At 51.3% G+C, this 23,733-nt stretch overlaps 1 protein-coding gene across 3 annotated transcripts in view, besides 6 other annotated features; it reads right to left on the bottom strand.

Annotated features, from left to right (window-relative positions):
- EML1 (EMAP like 1) overlaps positions 1-23,733 on the bottom strand; it is a 204,339-nt gene that overhangs the window by 167,295 nt on the left and 13,311 nt on the right. The gene's annotated exons all lie outside the window — the stretch shown is intronic.
- Positions 4,956-5,912: an enhancer, noted in NCBI's record as "H3K4me1 hESC enhancer chr14:100235191-100236147 (GRCh37/hg19 assembly coordinates)". NCBI's record gives its function as "activates a minimal SCP1, AML or CMV promoter by ChIP-STARR-seq in naive H9 embryonic stem cells {active_cell/tissue: H9 hESC(naive)}" and the evidence as "EXISTENCE:reporter gene assay evidence [ECO:0000049][PMID:30033119]".
- Positions 5,913-6,871: an enhancer, noted in NCBI's record as "H3K4me1 hESC enhancer chr14:100234232-100235190 (GRCh37/hg19 assembly coordinates)". NCBI's record gives its function as "activates a minimal SCP1, AML or CMV promoter by ChIP-STARR-seq in naive H9 embryonic stem cells {active_cell/tissue: H9 hESC(naive)}" and the evidence as "EXISTENCE:reporter gene assay evidence [ECO:0000049][PMID:30033119]".
- Positions 18,250-18,869: an enhancer, noted in NCBI's record as "H3K4me1 hESC enhancer chr14:100222234-100222853 (GRCh37/hg19 assembly coordinates)". NCBI's record gives its function as "activates a minimal SCP1, AML or CMV promoter by ChIP-STARR-seq in naive H9 embryonic stem cells {active_cell/tissue: H9 hESC(naive)}" and the evidence as "EXISTENCE:reporter gene assay evidence [ECO:0000049][PMID:30033119]".
- Positions 18,870-19,490: an enhancer, noted in NCBI's record as "H3K4me1 hESC enhancer chr14:100221613-100222233 (GRCh37/hg19 assembly coordinates)". NCBI's record gives its function as "activates a minimal SCP1, AML or CMV promoter by ChIP-STARR-seq in primed H9 embryonic stem cells {active_cell/tissue: H9 hESC(primed)}" and the evidence as "EXISTENCE:reporter gene assay evidence [ECO:0000049][PMID:30033119]".
- Positions 21,975-22,595: an enhancer, noted in NCBI's record as "H3K4me1 hESC enhancer chr14:100218508-100219128 (GRCh37/hg19 assembly coordinates)". NCBI's record gives its function as "activates a minimal SCP1, AML or CMV promoter by ChIP-STARR-seq in primed H9 embryonic stem cells {active_cell/tissue: H9 hESC(primed)}" and the evidence as "EXISTENCE:reporter gene assay evidence [ECO:0000049][PMID:30033119]".
- Positions 22,596-23,217: an enhancer, noted in NCBI's record as "H3K4me1 hESC enhancer chr14:100217886-100218507 (GRCh37/hg19 assembly coordinates)". NCBI's record gives its function as "activates a minimal SCP1, AML or CMV promoter by ChIP-STARR-seq in primed H9 embryonic stem cells {active_cell/tissue: H9 hESC(primed)}" and the evidence as "EXISTENCE:reporter gene assay evidence [ECO:0000049][PMID:30033119]".

Below are 23,733 nucleotides of genomic sequence, written 5' to 3'. Positions count from 1 at the left end.
TCACACAGACATGGGAAGATGGCCCCTTACCCCTAGAACTGCAGGGCACTACAAGCATGGCCCTCACCAGCAGGCAGGGCATCCGCCCAAGGGTGCAAACGTCACTCAGCCATGCTGCTGAGCACCCAGACTATCCCAGTGGAGCTATTGAAATTATGCAGCATCCTATGTGGCCAGGGCTAGAGCAGGGGCTTGGAGGGCTGCTCCCGTGCCAAGCATGAACCCTTGAGTGGGTGGATATGGGGAGGTCTGAGGAGTCCCAGAGGAGGAGGGTGAGGGAAGGAAAAAGGGTACACTCGGGAGGCATGGAGGATAGGGCAACATTACAAAAATACTGGGCATTACAGAAGCATTTGCATCTTTTAACAATCGCCATGGCCAAACCAGGTGACTCTGGGCCCTGCCAGGCCCCAGAGCTGCCTAAGAACAATGTGGTGAGGAGCGTGGATGCGGGTTAGGGTGGAGGTCACAAGGCCACGCTGTCACTGTGACCAGAGTCATTCTAGAGCCTGGGAAAGTCCCCCCATGCCTAGAATCCTGCTTCTCATCTCCAACCCCTCTGCTCTTTGCTTGGAGCTCTCTGTCATCCTCCCTCCCTCCCTGTCTCCCCTGGAGTCCTGCCAAGGGCTCTTCTCCTGGCCCAGGCTCTTTCTGCCCACCCCAAGTGTGGTTCAGAGGCCCCCCGCCCTTGTCCCAGTACCCCAGCCCCTCAGAAGGACAGACTGAAGGAGGGAGTGGGGGAAGATGCTCACCCAGCCGTCGTGAAGCAGAAGACAAGAGACCAGGCCTCCCCTGTGTAAGCCGCCCAGCCGCCCCTCCTCCAAGGGGAGATGCGGGGGGCAGAGGCCGGCTTTACGAGCAGAGCGCCGGTATCCCACTTCCCTCGTGGCCATTAAGCAAGATGGGCTGGGGATTTCCAAGAAGAGAGAAGGAGGCATCCATTATGCAGGCACTAATGAGTCTCAGGTCCCAGCTCTCTGAGGACCTGGGCAGGGCCGGGGAGGGGGAGCGGCGCCCACCTCGGCCTGGCTGCTCCTCTTCCCATCCAGGCTCCTGCTTTCTGCCACAAGATCCTGCGCATCTGGGTGATGGCAAGTAGGGCAGACGGGGCGCCCCAGGGGGACGGCTGCAGTTAGTGAAATCAGCTCCGTGGCCTGGGAGTTCTGCAGAGCAGAGAGGGGATCCGGAAGCAAGTGCCTGCCTCTTTGTAGTCAGATGGCATTTTGATGGAGAATTGCCTGGGGTAAAACTGGAAAACCTTTTTCCTGTTCCAGCGGCATGGTCCTGGGCAACGTCCACCCCTCTCTGGGCCTAAGGCAGGTAGATTCTGGGACCTCCTGGGGTCTTTGCAGCCTGTGCTCCAGGGGCCCTAGCTGTGTGGGAGGCTCCCCAGTGCCTGTCTACAGAATAGTGAGGAAAATGTAGAGGGAGTTTGTCATGAAATAAAATGTATTTTAATTTTAGAACTTAGCCTTATTCTGAGATTGTTCATCTGACATTGGTGATAAAGTAGCCTTGCTTTTATGAAATGAGGGCCAGAGTAGATGGTCATTACTTTTGAATGTCTTTATTTACCGAAACAAAAAGTTGGCATGCGCGGGGGTGTGTGGGGAAGTGTGAAAGTCTGTGAATCACTGTTTAGCCCTGAGGCCTGAGCCCTGAAGGATTTTGGGCTTTGGTAGCTGTAAGCCCCAGAGGGGTGTGGAGGAGGAGAGAACATGGTCACACACCCCATCTGTAGGAACCTATCTGTGGGGATGGCCTGTGACCGCTCTGCATCCAGGATGTTCAAGATGCAAAGCCTTCTAAGCCATGGACAGGGAAGGGAGAAATTCTTGTATTTTATTCATTCAAGGGGCTCTTACAGTCACAGCACCTGCTCCTTGTCTGTCAAGCATCAGAGCACCATGGGTCAAACAGTGGGTTGTGACCCACTAATGTGTCATAAAATCAATTTAGCAGGGACTGAGATGAGCATTGTTCAAATGAAATGTTGTGAAATATAGCAGAAAATATGAGAATTATATTAATACTATATGTAGATATGAAATAGAGCAAGTATTGATTCATGAACCTTTTGCTCCACTTCTGGTATGAAGCAATAAAAGTCCTAAAAACCTCCTGCAGACAACACAAACGCTATACAAAATAATAAAAACAATGCCTGGAGGGCTTTGGAGAGTTGACAAAAGCAGGCAGGTTTTGGAGCAATGTCCAAACCTAGGGAGAGGAATCAACCCCCAGGGGGTGAGTTTCACATTTTCACAGCTCTGTCTTCAGGGCAGCCCTCTTTGTGGTGGTGGCACGAGGTGACCGTGTTCCAGTAGAAAGTCTGTTGTCTGGACAGAGGAAGCAAGAGAAGCAGCCCTGGACAACCACGGTTATTAGAGAATGGGGAGAAACCCAAGAAAAGAGGTAGCCAGAGAAGGAGAACCCCAAATTTAGCATGTAAACTCTGCCCTGCTCTCTGGCTGGCGCCCAAACACACAGTTTGCAAGGCATATTAAAAGCAGTCTAAACTGAGAGCTGAGCCCCTGCCCTCTACAAGTGTCACAAAGTTTGAGGTGTGAGTCTAACAAGTTAATTGTCTGCTGAAACAAAAACATCAACACTATTAAGCAATATGACACAATCAAGAGTGTACAACACAGAACAATCACAACATCCAGGATACAATCCGAAATCACTCCACTCACAAAGAGCCAGAAAAATGCAACCTCTTCTCAAGAAAACGGTCAATCGACACATACCAATCCTGAGATAACCCAGATATTGAAAATGTTAGACAAGAACTTTAAAGCAGCTGTTATAACAATATTCAATGAAGTAATGAAAACTGTGTTGTAATAAAAGGTATGACATAGGCAAGAAACAGAAAATATGAAAAGGAACCAACTGGCAGCATTATTTTTTGTTTTGTTGTTTGTTTGTTTTGGTTTTTATTTGTTAGTTTTGAGACAGGGTTTCACTCTGTCACCCAGGCCGAAGTATGGTGGCATGATCATGGTTCACTGTAGCCTCAATCCCCTGGACTCAAGTGATCCTCCCACCTCAGCCTCCCAGGTAGCTGGGACTGCAGGCACACACCACCATGCCTGGCTAATTTTTGTATCTTTTGTGGAGATGGGGTTTCACCATGTTGCCCAGGCTGGTCTCAAACTCCTGGGCTCAAGTGACCCACCTGCCTCAGACTCCCAAAGTGCTAGGAATATAGGCGTGAGCCATGGCGCCCAGCCTGGCAGAAGTATTTGTAATAGCCAAAAAAATGGAAACAATCCACATGTCTCTCAGCTGATGAATGATTAGGCAAATGTGGTTTATCCACGCGATGAACTGTTACTCGGTCATAAAAGGAGTGAAGTACTCATACAGGCTTCAACATGGATGAACCTTGAAAACGTTATGTTAAGTGAAAGAAGCCACATGCAAGAGACCATAATCCCATTTATAGTAAACGTCCAGAATAGGCAAAACCATAGAGACAGGAAGTAGATTAATGGTTGCCCAGAGACTGAGGGGAAGGGAAGATGAGGACCAATTGCTAATGGGTATGGGGTCTTTTTTCAGGGTGACAAAAAATATACTCTAATAAATAAAAAGGTAAGACATCTCAGCCATTGACTCTGCAAAAGTCAGCATCTAGTGGGTGAGACAGATACTGATCATTATAATATCAGTGGGAGGCCGGGCGCGGTGGCTCACGCCTGTAATCCCAGCACTTTGGGAGGCTGAGGCGGACGGATCACGAGGTCAGGAGATCAAGACCATCCTGGCTAACGTGGTGAAACCCCATCTCTACTAAAAATACAAAAAATTAGCTGGGCGTAGTGGCGGGCGCCTGTAGTCCCAGCTACTCGGGAGGCTGAGGCAGGCGAATGGCGTGAACCCGGGAGGCGGAGCTTGCACTGAGCCGAGATCGCGCCACTGCACTCCAGCCTGGACAACAGAGCGAGACTCCGTCTCAAAAAAAAAAAAAAAAAAAAAAATCAGCGGAAACTGCTGTAAGGAAGAGTAAGAAAGGGAAGAAATTAATGTTTCTTGAGCACCTACTATGTTCAAGGCCCTGTGTTCAGCATATGTCACAGTTCAATAATTCTTGTTACTTCGCCAGGTGATAGGAACATCCCTGTTTTACAAATGGAGAAAATGAGGCCCAGGGAGGTAAAGTAACTGAGCTGATACTATGGACTGAACATTTGTGTCCTCCCAAAATTCATGTGTTGAAATGCTAATGAAATGGTGGAATTTCGAGGTGAGCCTTTGGGAGGTGATTAGATCATAAGAGTGGAACCCACATGAATGAATTTATTTCCTTAAAAAAAGACATGATCTCTCTTCATGCAGGTCAAAATAAAAAAGATAGATAGATAGATAGATAGATAGATAGAAAGAAATTTTTTAAAAAGACACGAGAGCTTGCTTCGTCTTTCTTTGCTTTCCACCATGTGAGAATACAAGAAGAAGACAATTGTCTGTGAACCAGGAAGACAGCCCTCCCCAGACACCAGATCTGCCAGCACTTTGATCTTGGACTTCCCAGCCTCCAGAACTGTGAGCAATAAATGTCTCTTGTTTTATCCACCAAGTCTATGATATTCTTTTATAGTAGCCCAAACTGACAAACACAGCTCTGATGATCATAGGAGGACAGAGGAGGGTCATTCCACTATCTTAGGGGAAATGGGGGGGAATGGTACAAAGGTTAAGTGTCATCAAAACCCGGTGGACAAGGAGAGAAAAGCAAAGTGAGCAAAGTAAAGAGGCGGGAACGTTTGTGCTGGCATGTATGGGCCATCAGGTGGCTGGAACTTGCAGGGGACAGAAGGGACTGGTAGGGAATGTGGTTGGAGGGGTGAACTGGGCCAGACCAAGCTCAGCAGAACCCATTTCTATTCCCAAGAAAAGGAGGAAAGAGGAGCAAGAACAAGATAAGGAGGATCTGCTGGTGCTGATTGCTGCCCACTTCTCAGCCAGCTCCTCATGGGAATGTAGCCTCGGAGGAATTGTCCCTACATTTAAGTGGTGTCCTGAGAAAACCTGAGCATTAAAGGCAGGTACATCTGGAAGCCATCATGACATTTGTCCTGATGCTGAAACTCATGTGACTGATTTCTCAAGTGTAGGGGCAGGTACTGCAGAGACTTGATAGTGACCATCACCCTGAACTAGTTGTCAGGTCTCAGAAAGAAGTGATATCAGATTGACAAACCATTGAAACTGACCTGTCTGCTCTAAATGCATGGCCCTGGGGAGAATGGGATCCCTGGAAATGGAGAGGAGCTTGCGTCCCTGCCCACTGTGGGGGAGGCCAAGGTTACTCAGGGCTGGGGCCAGCACTGCCTACTGAGGACAAGCCTTGAAGGGCTGTGTGCTTCCACTTCCAAAGGGCCACCTCCTGCTGGTGCCCACGGTGAGGGCCCTGTGATGGGAGAAAATGATCCTTGGAACAGTGCTCCCTGTCTGTGTGCTGACACCCCAGCTCCCCGAGTGCTCAGCACCTGCTGCAAAACCGCTGGTGGGCTGACTTGACCGAGGAGATGGCCACGCTGCTCAGAGTCACTAGCAAATGTGGGGCTCAGAGGCTGGCTGAGAAAGGAGGACCAGACAGGGAGCCTTCCAGTTGGTTCCCCTACTAGGTAGAGGGGTCTGTAGTTCTTGGTAACCTCAAACCCACATCGAAACCACCAACCAATACCAGTTTGGGTCACCCTGGATCCCCAAACTGCTGTCAAAAATAATATACAAGCAGGCCAGGCGTGGTGGCTTACGCCTGTAATCCCAGCACTTTGGGAGGCCAAGGCAGGCAGATCATCTGAGGTCAGGAGTTTGAGACCAGCATGGCCAACATGGTAAAACACCAACTCTACTAAAAATACAAAAATTAGACAGGCATGGTGGCGGGTGCCTGTAATCCCAGCTACTCAGGAGGCTGAGGCAGGACAATCACTTGAACCTGGGAGGCAGAGGTTGCAGTGAGCCAAGATTGTGCCACTGCCCTCCAGCCTGATGACAAAGGGAGACTCCATCTGAGAAAAAAAAAAAAAAAAAGACCACAGAAGCAGCCCTGGGGATTGTTGGAATGCATCTCTACCTTCCCCTTTCCCCAGCTGTTCTGGTGCAAGAGTCACACAGTTGAAGCTCCGCCCATCTTTGTGCCCAGTAATCCCGTGCTGTCACAGAGATGGCCACTCCTGGCCCTGGGCCTGTCTGCCTTACCCCCACCTCCTCCCTTTGCTATATTCCAGCCATGTGGAGTGACTGATAGTTCCGTGAGCCATATCATGCTGCTCTGTGTCTCTGCGCCTGTGCCCGAGTTCCTTTGGCCATTTTGGACCCTCTTCCTCCGAGGCAGCTCCATCAACCCCACAATCCTTCCTGCCACAGACGTCACCACCCCAGCTCAGACAGCGGCTCCGTGAGACCCTCAGAGACCCCATCTCACCACTCCACCATGAAGAATGAGTTCCTCCCTCCCCTGGGTCACGTCTAAGAATAGCACACCCTTGAGAATTTCACTTAGCACGTGGCATTGTAATGGCTGGATTTCCTCCGCTCTAAGACACACCTTTATGCTTTCGAAGCTTTCTGGAATTGGGATGAATCTTACATTCAATGTGCACCCTTCGTGTGGGATCACTTCTCCGTGCCCCATCTCTGGGAGAAGCCACTGGGAAGTCGAAGGAGTGACTTCAAATCAGGGTGACTTGGCCTCTTCCACCTGATTTACCCTGTGCCCACCAGCCCAAGGCAGATGGGACCTGGCAAGCATTTACTGGATCTGAATTTGAATTCAAGGATTTCTTGAGGCCAGCTCTGAGTATAGTTGTGTGCTCAGCAAAGTAGTGTGGGGGGTGTTCAGAATAAATATAAGACAAAGTCTCTGTCTCCTTGAAGCTCATGGCGAAATCCCTGTCTTGTTGAAGGTGACAGATGTGTATGTGAATGAGGGGACTTGGGGGAGGCCTTGAGGAAAGCAGCCAACAGTAATGCAAGACAAAGCCACCTGCAACAGCACCTTGGCCTGAAATAAGGGGGGGCTTGTATTTGGCTTTTGTTTTTTGAAAAGGGTCTCACAATTTGTAAATGTCTTGCATTTTTTTCAAAGGATCCCACAGAGAACCCTAATTCCCATTCTCCATCCCCCTCTTTTTTTTCTTGAGATGGAGTCTCACTCTGTCACCAGGATGGAGTGCAGTGGCGTGATCTCAGCTCGCTGCAACCTCCGCCTCTCCGCTTCCTGGGTTCAAGCGATTCTCCTGCCTCAGACTCCCGAGTAGCAGGGCCTACAGGTGCGTGCCACCACACCCAGCTAATTTTTGTATTTTTAGTAGAGTTGGGGCTTCACCATGTTGGCCAGGATGGTCGCCATATCCTGACCTTATGATCTGCCCGCCTTGGCCTCCCAAAGTGTTGGGATTACAGGCGTGAGCCACCGTGCCCGGCCAATGCCGTTTTACAGAGAAAAGAACTGAGGCTTGGAGAGAAATAGTCTTGCCCAAAGTCAATGACTAGCAAGTGCTGGAACCAGGACCAGACCTGACCCATGCTCCCTCTCGGCTATAGTAAGCTCTGGTTCATGGAACCCAGCTCTTCTCCTTAAAATAGAAATTTGTAGCCCACTTTTTAGCAGAAGTCAAATCTCGTTTCCGTGAAATAAGAAGTAATCCCTGAAGTTTCTCACCGTGCCTTCTTCTCACACAGTCACCATGGCGATGGAAAAATATTATGCGGTGGGGGAATTATGGGACTGTGATTCAGCAGGGCCAGCAAGAGGACCTTTGGAAAACGGTGACTCCCAGTGGACACGCTGCATTTTCAAAGCCAACACTCCAGGATGATGGATTGCACTTTGCTTCCTATAGAAGCCCGGTGGCCAGCCTCTCTCCATTAGCGGCCGACCCTCTCTCTCCATGCAAACATTTTTCTTACAAGAAAAGCATTGGTCATTTATTACCATGATTGCTGCTTGGCAACCTGGGATTGTGGAAATCAGCTGGCTTCGTTAAATTTTAAACATTTATCCTTGCCAAGTGAAACAAATTATTGATGTTGATTTGGGCGGACATTTAACATTTTCCAAGAGAAATTCAATGGTGAAGAGTTCAAACCTGGTTTTTAAGACTAGAATGGTGGAGCTGTTCATTTGACATTAACTAATGCTGGAATACAATAGTCTTCCTCAGCTGCTGTTGGGAAGCCCCCCTAAAATTGCTAGTTGGTCTATGTGTGATAGAAACATACCAACTGAGGTCTTCAAAAACATTAAAAATTAGGCCGGACATGGTGGCTCACGCCTGTAATCCCAGCAATTTGGGAGGCAGAGGTGGGTGGATCCCCTAAGATCAGGAGTTCGAGACCAGCCTGGCCAACATAGTGAAACCCTGTCTCTACTAAAAATACAAAAATTAGCTGGCATGGTGGTGGGCACCTGTAATCCCAGCTACTCAGGAGGCTGAGGCAGGAGAATTGCTTGAACCCACAAGGCAGAGGTTGCAGTGAGCCAAGATCACACCACTGCACTCCAGCCTGGGCAACAGAGTGAGACTCTGTCTCAAAAAAAAAAAAAAAAAAGTAAAAGTTTAATTTCCATGTGATCCAACAATTGCACTTCTGAGTCTACCCCCAAAAGAATAGAAAGCAGAGACTCAGATAGGTGTTTGCACACCCATTTTCCTAGTAGCATCATTCACAATCGACAAAAGGTGGAAACAGCCTAAGTGTTCATTGATGGATGAATGGGTAAGTAGTAAATAAAATGTAGTAATCATTTTATTAACCATTAATCGTTAGCCATGAATGTGTAAGTAGTAAATAAAATGTGGTAACCATTTTATTAACCTTTAATTATTAACCATTAATCCAGGCCAGCCACGGTGGCTCATGCCTGTAATTCCAGCACTTTGGGAGGCCAAGACAAGCAGATACTTGAGGCAGGGGGTTCAAGAGCAGCCTGATAAACATGTGGAAACCATGTCTCTACTAAAAATACAAAAATTAGCCAGGCGTGGTGGTGCACGCCTGTAATCCCAGCTACTCGAGAGGCTGAGGCATGAGAATCACCTGCGCCTAGGAGGCAGAGGTTGCAGTGAGCCCACATTGCATCACTGCAACTCCAGCCTGGGCGAAAGAGCCAGACTCTGTCTCAAAAAATATATATATATATAGTGCGGTAAATCTATACAATGTAATATTTTTAACTTTAAAGGAAGAAAATTTTGACACGTTACAACACGGAGGAACCTTGACTTGAGGATATATAAATGAAATAAACCGGAAATAAAAGGACAAATACTATATGATTACACTCACATGATGTACCTAGAGCAGTCAAATTCATAGAGACAGAAAGTAGATTGGTGGTAGCCAGGGGCCTGGCGTGGTGGGGGGAGGTTATTGTTCAGTGGGCACAGAGTTTCCGCTTGGCAAGATGAAATGGGCTGTGGAGATGGATGGGAGTGAGGATTGTACAACTATGTGAATGGACTAATGCCACTCAACTGTACACTTAAAATGGTTAAGACGGGCTGGGCATGCCTATCTTACACGCCTGTAATCCCAGCACTTTGGGAGGCCGAGACTGGAGGATTACTTGAGCCCAGGAATTCGACACCAGCCTGGGCAACATAAGAAGACCCCACCTCTACAAATTAAAGAAAAAAAATTAGCTGTGCATGGTGGCATTCGCCTGTGGTCCTGGCTACTCGGGAGGCTGAGGTGGGAGGATCATTTGAGCCCAGGAGGTTGAGGCTGCAGTGAGCCATGATTGTTCCACTGCGCTCCAGCTTGGGCAACAGAGTAAGACCCTGTCTCTAAAAACGACAACAACAACAACACCAACAACAACAAAAACGATTAAGATAGTAAATTTTGTTATATATTTTGCTATAGTAAAAAAAACAACACTGACTGAGGAACGGGCAGGACAGCGGTTTGGGTGTCCCTATACACTGACTTGGATCCAGTCCTGGCCATGCCAAAAGTCTATCAAGAAACTGTATCACATCCTGCTCCAAGCTCCTGTGGTTCAGTGGCCATGTGGAGCCCACCCTGCTGCTTCTGTGCCTGGGCTGGAATTTGGGACTTGTCTCCCCTTTCCTTCTCAGCCACCTCCTTCTCTCCTTGCAGCGGCACTTCCAGGAAGCCTGCCCTGACGCTCCTTGGCCTTCATCTGTTCGCCAACCTGCATGCTCCACTAGACTGTGAATGTACAGAGCTCGCTGCTGAAAGCCTGCTCTTGAGACCAGCAGCATCCGCTAAACCTGGGAGCTTGTCAGAAATGCACATCACCCAGGGAGACTTCAGTGGGGAAGACCAACCCAGGGCTCTGCCTCGGCCAGGACGGTGGCCAGGGAAGTGGAGTGGAGGCTGAACAGGGCAGCTGAATTCCAGCCCCACCTGGCACTATCTGCGTGACCTTGGGCAAATCGCTTAGCCTCTCTGAGCCGCACTTCCCTCATCTGTAAAATTGCAGGGCTGCTGCGAGAAGGAAGGAGAACAACCTGGGTGAAGAGCTGCTGTGAGACCTCTGTGAGCTGGGGGAGGAGGCAGGAGGAGAACAGCTCTGGAGCCACCCAGCCCAACGTCCTCATGGAAGAGTGAGCCACACAGAGAGGGCAGTGAAAGGAGGAAGGTCACACAGCAAGTCAGCGGTGGCCTGAGACTAGCGGGCATCTCCACTGCCCCCACTCACTGGTACCAGGGCTCCTCAGCCTGCAGCCAACTGTCTCCTCCTCCAGAAACACTTGGGGACCTCGGCTGCCTGGCGGTGTTAGCAAGAAGAAAAGGGCGGCCCCAACACACCCCCAGCTGCCTTCCAAAGAAGCCTGCACAGGTCATGAACCTCTCAGAACACAAATTTCCTGCAGGCCCCGGCTCCTCCAGGGCTGTCCTCCACCTTGCATGGCAGAGGTGGGTTTGGTGATTTGGATTAGGGTCCTCCCGGTGCTCCCTGCTGCCCTGAGAGCCAGCCCACATCATTATCCATGCTTGTGTTTATTACACAACTGTGCTGAGGTCAGAGAGGTGAGGGATGTAAAAGGTGAAATCAATCGAAACATCGTGCAGCATAGCCGAGGATCTAGAGAGGTCATTGCAGTGATGAGGACAATAACACGAAGACCACAAGCTCATTGGGCATGAGTCTAAGTGCTCCTCATGCTTCCGCAGTGATTCCTACAAATAATTTCAGGGAGCCTCTCTGAGGGCTGGTGGGGCCTGGCTGGTCCTGCCTGTGAGCTTCAGCCTGTCTTTTAGCCTCTCCCCACCTTATCACCGGGAGTAGTGCCCCACCTTGTGAAGGTACCAAATACCTTGTGAAGGTGCCTGAGTGTGCTGCTATGAAGAGGGTTGTCTTGCAATAAATCCACGTATATAGTAGGTGTGTCCATGTCTACTCATACAGCTCCAGGAGTATCTGGAGAAGCGGTGAGTATATTTATAGATGCACACACCACATACATACATGAACATACATCAGACACACTGTATTAGTTGCACTGCTGATAAAGACATACCTGAGACTGGGCAATTTACAAAAGAAAGTGGTTTAATGGACTTACAGTTCCATGTGGCTGGGGAGGCCTCACAATCATGGCAGAAGGCAAGGAGGAGCAAGTCACATCTTACATAGATGGCGGCAGGCAAAGAGAGAGTTTGTGCAGGGAAACTCTCCCTTATAAAACTGTCAGATCTCGTGATACTTACTATGATGAGAACAGCATGGGAAAGACCTGCCCCATGATTCAATTGCCTCCCACTGAGTCCCTCCCACAACACGTGGGAATTCAAGATGAGATTTGGGTGGGGACACAGCCAAAGCATATCACACACATACGTAGGGGTGTTATTCAGCTTTAGTAGATAATATCAGTTTCCTAGAATGGCTTTAACAACTTATCTTCTACCAGTAACATGTGTGAGTTCCAGTTTCTCCATGTCTCTAGTTTTTATTTATCTTAATTTACTTTTAGACAGTGTTTCACTCTGTCACCTAGGGCGAAGTGCAGTGACTGGAAATATGGCTTACTGCAGTCTCAACCTCTCAGGCTCAAGTGAACCTCCCACCTCAGCCTCTCGTGTAGTTGGGACTACAGGCATGTGACACCACACCTGACTACTTTAAAAAATTTTTTGTACGGAAAGGGTCTCATCATGTTGCCCAGGCTGGTTTTGAACTCTTGGGCTCAAGTAATCCTCCTGCCTTGGCCTCCCAAAGTGCTGGGATTATAGGCATGAGTCACTGCACCCAGTCGATATCTTTATCAACATTTGGTATTTCCACTTACAGAAAGGTTAAAAACAAGCAAGCAAAAGCTAATCCAGTATTAGAAGCCCAAACAGTGTTTACCTGAGGGGTTAATGGCTGGAGGAGGGTGCGAGGGGCTTCTGGTGGTGTAAGTTCTGTTTCTTGTTCAGGGGGCTGGTTATACAGATAGGTTTACTGTGGATATTCCTCAAGCTGTGTACGTAAAATGGATGCACTTTTCTGTAAGCATGTTGCATTTCAATTTTTTTTGAAGTTTATGAAAAAAACACTAGATTTAAAAGCAATTCAGTGGCACAGGTGCTATTATTGTCCCTGTGATACAGAGGAAGACACTGAAGGTCAAGGTCACTCCCTGGAACAGGGCTCATTGTGCAAATTAATTTATGTAAAGCCCCTTTCCTGTCCGTGCCCACGTCTGTTCAGCCACTGAGCCCATCAGCCCCACCTCCACATATTTCCCTAATTGTCATTGGTTTCCAATCAGGTTACCCTTCCGGCTGATCCAAGTGCTAGATTTTGTCACCTTCAAATTTCATGTCATTTTGCCCCCAGTTCTCGATTTTTTTTTTTTTTTTTGAGACAGAGTCTCACTCTGTCACCCAGGCTGGAGTGCAGTGGCGTGATCTCAGCTCACTGCAACCTCCGCCTCCCAGGTTCAAGAGATTCTCATTCCTCAGCCTCCCGATTAGCTGGGATTACAGGCGCCTGCCACCACATCTGGCTAACTTTTATATTTTTATTAGAGACAGGGTTTCGCCATGTTGGCCAGGCTGGTCTTGAACTCCTGACCTCAAGTGATCCTCCCACCTCGGCCTCCCAAAGTGCTGGGATTACAGGTGTGAGCCACTGTGCCCAGCCTCATTTTGCCCCCAGTCCTAAAAGCCCAGGGGAGATCATTTTGAATGCCCATTCTGCATTCTCCCACACCATCTGCTCACCCCAGGCTCGGTGTCACCCACAAATTTGGTAAGCATGCCTCCCACATGTACGCCCCAATCCTGGGCAACTTTGCTCTCCTTGGGAAGGGCAGCCAGGCGCCTCCCAGTAAGACACCCAGTGAGCAACCCTGGTCTGTGTCTGACACCCAGCACACCGCTCTGCCAGCCTTCCTTCTTCTGCAGTCTCCAAAACATCATATCTGTCAAACAGCCACTCCACAAATATTAATAGGGTCCCTACAATGGGAAGGCCCTGTGCTGGCAACCAGAGGGGGATGAAGCTGAACTAAACTTGGAGCTGACAGGGGTGGGGAGGTGATGATTACAGTCTCCAGAGTCAGCCTGAGTTCCAATCCTGACTCTGCCACTCTCAAGCTGTGTGACTCTGCCCAAGTCACTCAGCTTCCCTGAGCCTCAGTTTTCTCATCGGTAAGGTGGGAATAAAAATCGTGCCTCCCAGGGTACAGTGAGGACTGAGTGAGGTAACATTTGTAAAGCTCTTTGAACAGTGTCTGGCACAGAGAAAACACTTTACGAGCCTTGGTTGGCATGGTTGGTCTGAGAGGGCTCTGGCATTTGTCTGTGGTTCTGTTTTTCTTTCTCCCCGCTTGCCTGTGGCTCAGGCCTTGGTTGTCTCTGTGGTCCATGGGTAGCAGAGAGCAAAATGCACACCAGAGTCCCTTGAATGAGACAGAGCTGTGTTCAAATCCCAGCTTTGCGTGTACTGGTTGAATGCAGGTATTGGGCAAGATACTGTTTGCTCCATTATAAGATGGGACCAGTGGTGCCACACACTGAGGGACCGTCTGGCTCAAGTTGGGGCTTACTTGACGAGACTGAGATTAATATTGGTGTTTGGGCGTTGAGCAGGCTCCCAGTCTGTCTGCAAAGCCCTTTCAGGGAGAAAGGGAAAATCAGCACTTTGCATGCTGTAAGGAGGCTTACATACTTTGCATGCTGTATGGAGGAGGGACAGGCTGATCCCCCATTAGGAATGTGACATAAGAATTAAATTCATGAAAGTCTAAAAGTCGTTTCCTTTGAACGGTGCGTTCTAAACACCCTGCACAGTAATCCCAACATCAGAGAATGGTTCCATGCCGAAAGCCAGTACATTTCACTCCATGTTCCGCAGTTGTTAAAATGGTCATTACGGAGATCATGCAGCAATGTGGGAAATGCTTGTGACATAAGGGTGGGGGGAGGAAACTGGAGGCACCATTTTACCAATGACTTGATAGGGCAACTTTGCACAGAAAGAAAGAGAAGGGAGAGAAAGGAAACCCATGTGGCTGACAGGGCTGAGTTTCCGGGAGAAGGGACGACAGCTGATTTCATTTTCTTTTTCTCCATTTAGTCCATTTTCTGTAGAGGTTTTGTTTCTGTTGCACATTTGTAAGTTTGGGGGGTGTTTCCAAATGGAGTGATTTAAGCCTGGTCTCATAGCTCTTTTTTTTTTTTTTTTTTTTTTTTTTTTTTGAGAGGGAGTCTAGCTCTTGTTGCCCAGGCTGGGGTGCAACATCCGCCTCCCGGGTTCAAGCGATTCTCCTGCCTCAGCCTCCTGAGTAGCTGGGATTACAGGCACCCGCCACCACGCCCGGCTAATTTCTGTATTTATAGTAGAGACGGGGTTTCATCATGTTGGTCAGGCTTGTCTCTGACCTCAGGTGACCCACCCACCTCGGCCTCCCAAAGGGCTGGGATTACAGGCGTGAGCCACCATGCCAGGCCTAGTCTCACAGCTCTTGATGCATGAACGCAAAGAGCGTTTTCCAGGTGCTTCCCCAGGCCCTGCTGCTGCTGAGGGTGGTTAAGGCTCAGCTCAGCCTGCGCAGCACAGGCTGGAGACAGGAACTGAGCTTGGCTGGACACAGCGCAAACCCAGCAATGCCACCTCGGAGCTGCCAGGACAAGCCCTTTCCTCTCTGGCCAAGGCCTGGACTGTAGGACGGTGCACCCGATTCCTTCCCAGGCTGTCAGGAGGATGAAAGGACAGGAAGTGTCTGAAGTGCTCACACATATGGCTGTTGATAGCAGGAAAGGTGCTGACAGTCACTGTCAGCAGAAACTAAGGAGAAACTAAGAGAAGGGGACCTCCCGGCCCGGGGCTGCCCTCCAGGCTGGCTGAGGGGTGGCTGAGTGGTCAGAGAACCATCAGAGATGGTGAGTGCAGCTGGACAAGAAGGAAGGCCCCATGAGGGAGAAGCAGCTTTAAGCCAAGCGGGCCATGCAGAACTCACCTTGAGCCCCTGCCTGACTGCAGCATGCCTACTGTGTGCCCAGCCTGGCCTTGTGGAAGGGAGTGGAGGGGCTGAGGGCTGACTGCTGTGCTCACCCCAGACATCTGTGGTAGGGAATGCAGACACCTGCAGAGCCCCCTCCCTCTCCTTCTTGCTAAAACCAGGTCCCACCCTGACTACCAGCCCAGTGTTTGCTCCATGACTCTCAGGCCACTACACCTCAGCACCCTCTGATTTGGAGGAACATGTAAATCACTCATCTGGGCAGCAGCTTTTCAACTGCTGGGGCCTCCGTAAGGTCAGACGGCTTTGCACATCTATGGGCGTGAAGCAAGTCATGTGCAGGCCCACTCTGACCCTGACAGCCCCTCTAGACCTGCCAGCATGGCCATCAGCAAAGTCACAGCTAAGTAAACTCCAATTTCTTTGCAAACCCAGAGTCCGATGTTTTATCAGAACTAGAGTGCTGCCCACAAGTTCATTGTGATGGACAGGGCAGGAGGGCAGGAATATGCACTTTACAGAAAGTCCTTGTGAGCAAGCCTTCTGTTGCAGGGCTGAGCGACTCGGTGCTCCTCAGCCTCTCCCCAGAAGCCTCCGTATGGAATGCATAATTTATGAGGACCCGCTGTGCATATTCATGAGCTCATTGCCTTCCAAGGCCAGTTTCTTCGCCTAATGAATCACTGCATGAGGGCGTGACTAGGGCGAGGACTGACTCTGGGCAGGCCTGGGGCTCTCAAAATGACTACTAATCTCTAAAACTTGCTTTGAAGAGAATGATCCCAACTGTGCCTGCCTTTGGTCAAATGTGGGGAGATCCAAAGACTGAAACCTCTGCCCTGAACCCCCAGGCTGCACAAATCAGGGTGCATCAGCAACATTTCCCGGGGTACTGAGGCAGGTCTCCTCCCCCACAAAGCAATCCCCATACATGGTGGGTGGAACTCTGTATGCTTCATGTTGGCAGAACTCCAGAAAAAGCCCTCCTCAGCCTCTGATGACATCATCTCAAGAGCCAAAGAGCCCCCTGGCAGGTTGTCCTCCTGGCCCTCAGTCTTTCCTGTCTGTGAACTGGGGAGGTAATTTCTTTTATGATCTGGCTTCCGTTGACTCTCGAACACAGTGTTCATGTGTAAGCACCTCTGAGACAGCATGTTTTCCCAGCGTGTCTTGGCTGGCATCAGGATTTCAGTGTCAGTGTTCTTTTCTTTCTCTATGGTCCAGAAAATAATGTATGTCTTACAGTCAGTGAGACCCTGGGTTCGGATGAAATACAGTAATAAGCTACTGTTTACCAAACACCTGCCATATGCCAGGCACCATGCTCAGCATTTAGGAATCTTAGTGCATAGATTATGTGTGCTCATCCCTGAACACAGGGGCTGGCTCATAGTAGGTGCTCAATAAATGCAAGTTTCCTCCCCTCCTTGTTTCTAGGAAGAAAGAGCTGCCTCGTGCATTGTAATTTGTTTGGCAGAGAAGCGTATTCTTGAAACCTGTTTTTTAAAGCTCACATTTTATTCAGGGAGCTTCATGGCATTGGGAGCATTAAATAATTGCTGATTTAATTTGGATTTGAGGTGGAGGGGAGCTTAAAAGTTTTCCCAAACTAGTCACAACCCAATTAAAATGTTACTCATGAAACCCAAGACAGTGATTCATTTAATGCTCCATCTGGCGTTTCTTGCTTTCAAGCAACACACATATGACTCAACTTTGCTTTTGCTTATTAAACGCTAACCAGCACGCTTCCTCATCCCAATAAAAAGTTAGGTTGAAGCCTTGCTGTGTGTGCACATGAGTGTACATGCGTGGGTGTCTGTGCCGTGTGGCATGTTTATCCACGAGGCTCCTAGATGTGCACAAGCGGTATGCGCGACTGTATGCAAGGCCAGTTTTGTTGCCACACAACCTGTGCTGTCACTGGGGGCTCTGCTGCCACAGTCTTGAAATTTTTAACAATTCTTTTTTTTTTTTTTTTGAAATGGAGTCGTGCTCTGTCGCCCAGGCTGGAGTGCAATGGCGCGATCTTCGCTCACTGCAACCTCCACCTCCCGGGTTCAAGTGATTCTCCTGTCTCAGCCTCCCGAGTAGCTGCGACGACAGGCATGCACCACCACACCCAGCTAATTTTGTATTTTTAGTAGAGATGCGGTTTCTCCACATTGGTCAGGCTGGACTCGAACTGCCGACCTTAGGTGATCCTCCCGCCTCGGCCTCGCAAAGTGCTTGGATGACAGGCGTGAGCCGCCATGCCCAGCCTTAATGATTGTTAAACAGCAGCTCCATATGTTCGTTTTGCACTTGGCCCTGCAAATTGTGCCGCCGGTCCTGGGGATGTGTGTGTAGAACTGCGTGTCATTGTGGGCACAGGAGCACGCGCATCCTTGTGGATGTGAGTCCATGCAGATGAGTGTATACGCGCCCTGTGAGAGTGCGGGCCGCGTGCGGATGTGTGAGGCTGGGAACACAGGAAAGGGGACGTGAGAGGGGGGTTGAGAGTCTTTGTGAATGTGTCTGAGGGTGCCTGACACACTGAACTTCAAACGCTGGGGGCACGGGAATCACACCAGAGCCCCAAGATTCAGATTCCACAGGTGTGGGGGCTCGGGAAGGTGTAATTTTTTAACAAACACCTCCCCACCTCCAGGCGACTGCAGTGCCCACCAGCGTTTGAGAACCACTGGGCCAAAGGTTTTAGGTGCTAGAAATTGGGTCGATGACCCCACCATTCTTTAGGTATAGGCTTAGACTGTCATATGGCTCCAAACCATCTACCTACTCACTCTGTTATCTGAAGTAAAGGTTTCCCCAAAGCCCACCAGGAACACCAAGGAACCGATGAGCCATTCACTGTGGGAACCCCAGACAGAGGCCTCCCGCGGCCTTTGCCTGGGCCTTGAGCCAGGCGGTGACTCACAGCAATAGGCCGGAGTGGCCTTGCTGGTCAGCCTCTGCCTCCCGCCTTGCTACATCAGCAGGGCAGAGCCAGGGCTGCCACCCGATGACCAGTATGGGTCATGCTGCCTGACCCTGCCCCCACCACCAAACCCCCTTAAGTCGGAAGGGACTGGCATTGGTCAGTGCCCCCAACCCTGATGCCATCAGATGTGCCACCTGCAGTCGCCTCCTGGGGTCCTTCTCTGGGGCCCAGCACTTGCTGACCTTGGAGAGCTGGCTTCTGGGCACCCTGGTGACCCCACCCAGCACAACTCCCCTTCTTGGCTGCATTTCCCTGAAAGCCATCCTGGGGTGAGATGTTGTCCTCTTGCGGAGCCATCCTGGCTAGGCGAGGGGCTGTGGGCCACACGTGTGGCCATGGGAGCTACACTCTGCCACTTGCCGGCAGGGGACCCTGGGCGGGTTCCTTGAGCTTATCTAAGCCTCGGGTTCCTCGCCTGTGAAGTAGCCCTGTGCTACCCTGGGCCAGGGACCTGCTCCAGGGTGGGTCCAGGGCCAGGCTCCTGCCCCCTGCCTCCTCAGGCCACACTTCCTCTTGCAGCTCCCGCTTGGTCCCCGCACACCTACCATGCACACAACACAGTTTCCCCACCCTGCCCCTTGCGGGGGTTGGCATGGAGCCAGCAGTCAGCATCTGTGTGAATTAGAATTGGGGTTCTGCAGACTTGGGGATCCAGAGAGGCACCCTGTTCCCCAGGAGGGCAAGTGACCACGGAATGGGAAAGAGGCTGGTCCAGCGCCACACAGCCAGTCCACAGCCGGGACAGGAACCAACATCTTTAGCTGCTCCTTTGCCCCCAGCTCTCCCCTCCACAGCTGGCACCACTAAGCACCCACTGTGCACTAGGCACTTGGAAGCCTCTCTTCTGGAGCCGCCACAACCACCAGATGAGGATGTCACAGCAAGAAGAGGAGGGCTGAGAGAGATCAAGTGACTTGCCCAAGGACACACAGCGTGTGGGACCTGAGATATAAGCTTCAAAGTGACGCTGACACAGAGACCCCTGACTCTCTGGCAGCATCAGCATAGCGCCTCTCAGGCCCCTCCGGCAGCCCCAGGCTCCCCGGGGCCTCCAGGCCCCCAAGGCTGCTGGAGGCTGCCTGTCCTCCACGGTCCATCTCCTTCAGCTCCTGTCACCGGCTGGGTGCCTGGAAGCTGCATGCCAGCCTTTCCATTATTCATGCCACCCTTTGGTTGCCAGCAGGGATTGGGCCCAGAGGCCCCAGCTTTGCCAGGAAAGATAAGGCACCAACGCCTGACTTTTCTTCTGAGCTCCATCCCATTTCCCAAAAGAACACAAAGGCCTGTTGTTCCCTGCCCCGTGTAGGATGCTGGGCCTCCTTCTCATGAAAAGAAGATAAACCATTAGCGGGATTACAGCTGGTTAGGTTTACAGCTTTTCCTCACGGCCACCTGTCCCCTCCTGTAATGCTGCATGGACACGAGAGGCAGGTGCCTGCTGTCTCCGGATCATGGGGCGGGGGAGGCAACAGCTCCTCTGAGCCCCTCTCTCAGGCCAAGCTTCACAGGCATGACCTGGAGAAGTTTCTCCAGCACTGCGTGGGCTCCATAGTCCTCATCCCACGTTATAGGTGAGGAAACTGAGGCTTGGCGAGGCTGAGAGACGTGCTGAGATAACGCAGCTGGTAGAGGGCTTTGCCAGTGCTCTCTGCCCTGTGCCGGGGTGCCAAGCTGACTCATTTGTCCTCAAAACAAAACTCGGAAGAAGTGAGTTGATGCATGCAAACCCTGCCTGCCCACGCCTCTATCTCCAGCTGTACAGTTGAGTCAAACAGAAGTTGAAAGCAGAGAACCAAAATTCAAGACCACCAAAGTGGGTCCTGGGAGGTCCGTCTGTAACCTACTCCTCCCACACAGGGAGCCAGGCAGGCTGGTCTGGGAGTCACGGCCCCACCCAGAGGTCTGGTGGAGCCCTTTGCACCCCCAGAGGACTCCCATAGCTTCAAACGCCATGCGTGCCACCGTGGGGGGAGGCAGGGGGCAGGGGAGGTGGCATGCCAGGCTGGGAGATGGGGCCCCCTCCTTGCCCTGGCCGACCCCGCCAAGCTGGTGATGTCACCGCCTGAGACAGGATTAAGATGATGTCACAAGAAGCAGCTTAGTGCTGGGACAGATAAACATCTTCAGAAGGCTGGCACTCCAGGGATGCCAGGGGTCCAACAAAGGCCAGCAACGTCTGTGTCCTCGCAACCCAGGGTTGAGCCACTTTAGAGATCAGCAACTGCAGCTTCCCCCATTTCACAGATCAGGAAACTGAGTCCCAGAGAGGGGAAGGATTTATCCAGGAGCTGCCAGTGATGCAGCAGCAGAGCCAATGAGGGTCTTAGACACAGACCTGGGGTGGGGGGCCCTTGTTGGAAAGCCCTCTGGCTTTGCCACCTGGCAGCCTAGCAGTGGAGCCTCTGCCTCCATGGAGTAGCTGTGTGATGATCCACTCTGAGCCTCCATCTCCTGGTCCGTACACTGGGGATGATAATACCACCTAGCTGATGCGGTTGTGGGGAAGAGAAAACAGGATGGTTTTTGTAAGCAGCCTTGCAGACAGCAATTTTCCCTAAGCACTTTCTAAAGGAAGAATGGCAACAAGCAGCAACAGAGAAATAGCAAGACCCCCACTGAGCACCTACTATGTGCCAGGGCTGGGGTAGAGATGACTCAGACACCGACCCTGCCCTCAGACGCTCACCGTCTATCAGGCAGACGCAGACACGGACCTCACGAGCGATGGAGGCTACTTACTGGCTGTCACCATACAGAGGAGGCCCCTCCCTGCCAGGGAGGGAGTAGAGGGAGTGAAGGAGGGCTTTGCTGGGGACCACAAGGTGTTCCAGGAAGGGAGATGGGTGCTGACAGGCACCAGGTGAGAAACACTGAGCAGTGTGTGGAGAATCCATCTGCCTGGGCTGTGGAGGTGAGGGCGGGTCCTGGGCAGGGAGGCCGGAGGGGCCCACAGGGATCCGCTTGACCCCCCAGGGAGGGCCAGCATTACCAGGCCAGGAGGTTCGGACTTAATTGCAATGAGGACTTCCCCCTGAAGTGTCTTGTTAGCTGAAGCGCCAACCATGGCCACTGGGTGGAGATGAAATGCCCCTCGGAAAGCAGGTGCGGGGGCAGTGGGGGGTGGGGGGGCGGCGGGGGGGCGGGGGGTGCGGGTAGGGGGGTGGGGGCTGCGGCTGCTTCCCTGCGGGATGAGGCATCAACCTCAGGTGTCTTTGCAAGACCCCTCCACATGTGTCCTGCCCACTGTGCCGGCTTCGCTGCTTCCCTCTTATGGCTATCCTGAGGGAAACTGAGGCTGGGCCAGGTGCAGCCACTTGCCCATAGATGCCAGGGCGGGGAATAAAAGCCAGGGCTGCCTCAAGTCAGAGGCCTCGTTCTTTCATTGCACGCCCTGCCTTCCAGCTTCCTGGGATAGTTCTTTCCTGATTCATACAGTGTAGCGTTTGTTTCCTTATTCAGGTTTCATCATTAAAAAAAAACCTGCTGTTTAAAACTGTGTATTTTTTAATGTGTATTTTCTAAAGGAAACCAGGCCCCCTGTGCTTCCTCCCGACTGACCCTGTTTTCTCAGAGCCATAAATCACTTCCTTAAAGGGGGCTGGGAAGCCACACAGGAAGACCATTGGCCCCTGAAAGCTGTGGTTTACCAGCTACCAAGGGTCAGGGTCTGGAGGCCCCGTGGCGGCAGCTGAGTCCCAAGCCCCAAGGCAGGCACTGCTTCCCTGGGACAGCACCCTCTCCCCAGGGGGCACCTCAGCAGGCAGCTGGCTCCTTGGGCACAGCCTTCCTGCACCCAGGGGACCAGGACACTTTCTGCTGGCCTGGAGGTGCTGGGGTGTAGGGGCAATTCAGGGGAGATTCCTTAGCTGCCAAGAAGGAGCAATATTTGGGACATGCTTCCACTTCCACAAAACAGTTGTTGTTTATCTGAAATTCAAATTCAGCTGGACGTCCTGCATTCCGCCCGGCGACCCTGGCGTTGGTGATGAGTGTGTCTGAGAGTGTGTTTATGTGTGTAGGACTGTGGGTGTGTGTCATCATTTCCAGACCTTGCCTTGGGGGAATCTAGGGACAAGGACTTGGAATTTCGAGTGTCCTCCTGGGTACATAAGAAGGGAAATGCTTCTCTGGGGGCTATGCTGCTGGTGCTGTCTCGAGGCAAAGAACTGGGAGCTCTCAGTGTGTTTGAACCAAGAAAGCCAGCTGATGGCATATTAAACATCAGCCCTGCGCGGTGGGGCGATTAACGGTGTCTCTGGAGTAACGGCATCTGGGGCGCTGTGATGGATGCCTCCAGCAAGGGCTGGCAAAACGGCCTTGGGTTTGCCTCCTCTTATCTTCTGATGCTCAGACTCGCTGAGAATGAACATTCCCTCCTGCTGCCACGTGCCCGTAAAACGGATGTGAGGTCCTGTCACTCCTCTGCCCAAAACCCTCCCTGGCTCCCTTCTCACCCAGGGTCAATACCAATATCCTTTTCAGACTGCAGATAGACCCCTGTGGGTCTTCCCAACCCCTCCTGTCTAAGCTCGTCTTCCGCCCCGGTTCTGGGGTTCACTCTGCCCAAACTGACCTTGCTGCTCTTCCTTGAAAAGACCAGACACTCTCAACTCAGGGCCTTTGCACCAGCTGCCTCTTCTGCCAGGAACACCCTTTTCTCAGAAGCTCCATGGCCCGGTCTTTCACATCCCTGAGGTCCTTCTCGAGTATCCAGGCCTCTCTCCATAGCCCTGTTCTGACACCCCGTCCCTGATTCACGATACCCCATCCTTAGCACCCTCCTTACCATCACACACACTATGGGCTTTGTATTTATCTTGTCCGTTTTCTGCATGACACCTCCCCTGCTCCAAGAGTCTGCCCCCAAGGACGGGAATCATACTGTCATCTTTGTCTGCAGCTGATCAGTAAATGTTAGTCGAATGGCTGATTGACCATTCAGCAGCTGCTGCTGCCTCTGCTTCCGTGCTGGGTCACCCAGGACCCTCCATGCAGTGGCCCCTTGTTACCTCCCACTTGTGCCTCAAGACCTGACTCAGGGCTACTCCTCCAGGAAGGCTGCCCTGCCCACCCCCCTGTGGTTCTCAGGTCACAGTACATGGCACACGGGGCTCTCATTGTCCGTCTGCTTGTCCATCTGCTGTGAGCTCCTGGAGGCAGGTGAGGGGCAGACTGTCCTCTGTACCCCAGGACCCAGCAGTGGCCTGGCTAGCAGTAGGTGCTTGGGATGTGATGGGTGGCTAAGGGAATGATTGCTTGGGTAGTTTCTTTTAATTTTCTTTTTTAAGAAAAGAGGCTATTACT

This window comes from Homo sapiens, chromosome 14 (assembly GCF_000001405.40).
Source record: "Homo sapiens chromosome 14, GRCh38.p14 Primary Assembly".
NCBI lineage: Eukaryota > Metazoa > Chordata > Mammalia > Primates > Hominidae > Homo > Homo sapiens.
This window is presented reverse-complemented; position numbering and strand designations above follow the sequence as displayed.